We start from the raw sequence: 1,740 nt of genomic DNA on the forward strand, positions 1-1,740 counted from the left end.
CTGTTCCAGCAGCATGGCTCCTGGTAGGGGTCATTGGTCAGCTCTGGGTTAGAGCCTTCATTAGGCTTCATCTCTGCCACATGTGTATTTAAGCCTATCAATGCAGGATGTCAATTTAATAAGAATTAAGATGATTCCAATCTGCACTGATAAGATAAACACCCTTAAAATACTTCAGGTATTTTCTCAATATATTTTAAATATAATAGATTTTAAATAGAATTTTAAACTCATATGCACTTTACTGCATATGAGTCCATTTACTGAAGTAGTTCCATGGAAATTTTCTAAGGACCCAAATGTAGAAGGACTATAAATGGTTTTGATAACACAGCTGATTAAAAGAACAATGGCTAGGAGAAAAATTCTAGAAATAGTACTTAGTAGAGAATAAGTATAATAATTCCATGAAAGTCTCCTGAATATAAAATTGCATAATTTACTAGAGAGAATAATATAGTAAAATGTCAGATTCTTCTTTTACCAAAGACAGTTTCATTATTTTTCAGATTAGATTCTACCACCTTGAAAAAAACGTATACAAACACACACACACATCTTTCATGTGAGTATAAATCCTATTTTTAGAATGACATTTAAGAGAACTTGATTTTTATCAAAAAAATTGAAGTTGATGCTAAATTCAGGGGTACTTTCATAAAGTGTAAAGATTTGTAAAGATTTGTAAAATATTCTATTCCCCCAAATGATTATTTCGATCTCTATTTGCCTTACTTTTATATGGGCAACTTTATTATCAGAATGTAAATACTAAGAACACTGACATAAGATATGTATAAATTATGCAATACAACAAAAATTAAATGAGAATGGATATTAAAGAACTCAGATATATTTTATATATTATCTTACCATAATTTAAATTATCACATAACTTATTTGTATTGATTAATAGGTAAATATATGTAATATATAAATATATAAAGTGATTATATAATAGTTTATATTATGGATTATATATAGTTTATATATATTATATGTTCTTAGCTATATTATAGGTATATTATAGCTAAGAATATATAATATAATACATATTTAATATACATATGAAAGAAATAAAGATGACTAAAGATTCCAAACACAACAATTAGATTACAGTCATGTGGCACACAATGATATTTTGGTCAATGAGGGAATGTATACATGATGGTGGTCTCATGTGATTACACCATATTTGTACTGCATTTTTGTAGATGTAGATATATTTAGATACACCAATACTTACTATTGTATTACTATTGTGTACAGTATTCTGTAAAGTAACATTCTATACAGGTTTGAAGCTTAGGAGCAATAGGTTTACCATTTAGCCTAGGTGTGTAGTTGGCTATACCATTTAGGTTGGCATAAGCACATTCTTTGATGTTTGCACAATGACAAAAATCACCTAATGACACATTTCTCAGAATGTATTCCTGTCACTAAGGGAGGCGCGACTGTGTCTTGTTTGGTTAAAGATAAATAAAAAGGCCGCACCCACCTATAAAAGAATTTAATGTTATAAACTCTGAATTGGCTTCAGTGAAAGCGTGTATGGATTGTGATGCCTGTATCAAAGTGGAAAATAATGTTCACTTCACGTCATTCAAATTACATGTTTGCAAAAGCACTGTGTGGGGGTCAGGCGAAGGGAAAATGTGCAGTTTTGGTTTTGGCTAAAGAGTTCTAGTACCTCTACTTTAGTACCAATGATTTTAATACAGCTACAACAGAGCACTA

The sequence above is a fragment of the Homo sapiens genome, chromosome 5 (genome assembly GCF_000001405.40).
Source record: "Homo sapiens chromosome 5, GRCh38.p14 Primary Assembly".
Taxonomy (NCBI): domain Eukaryota; kingdom Metazoa; phylum Chordata; class Mammalia; order Primates; family Hominidae; genus Homo; species Homo sapiens.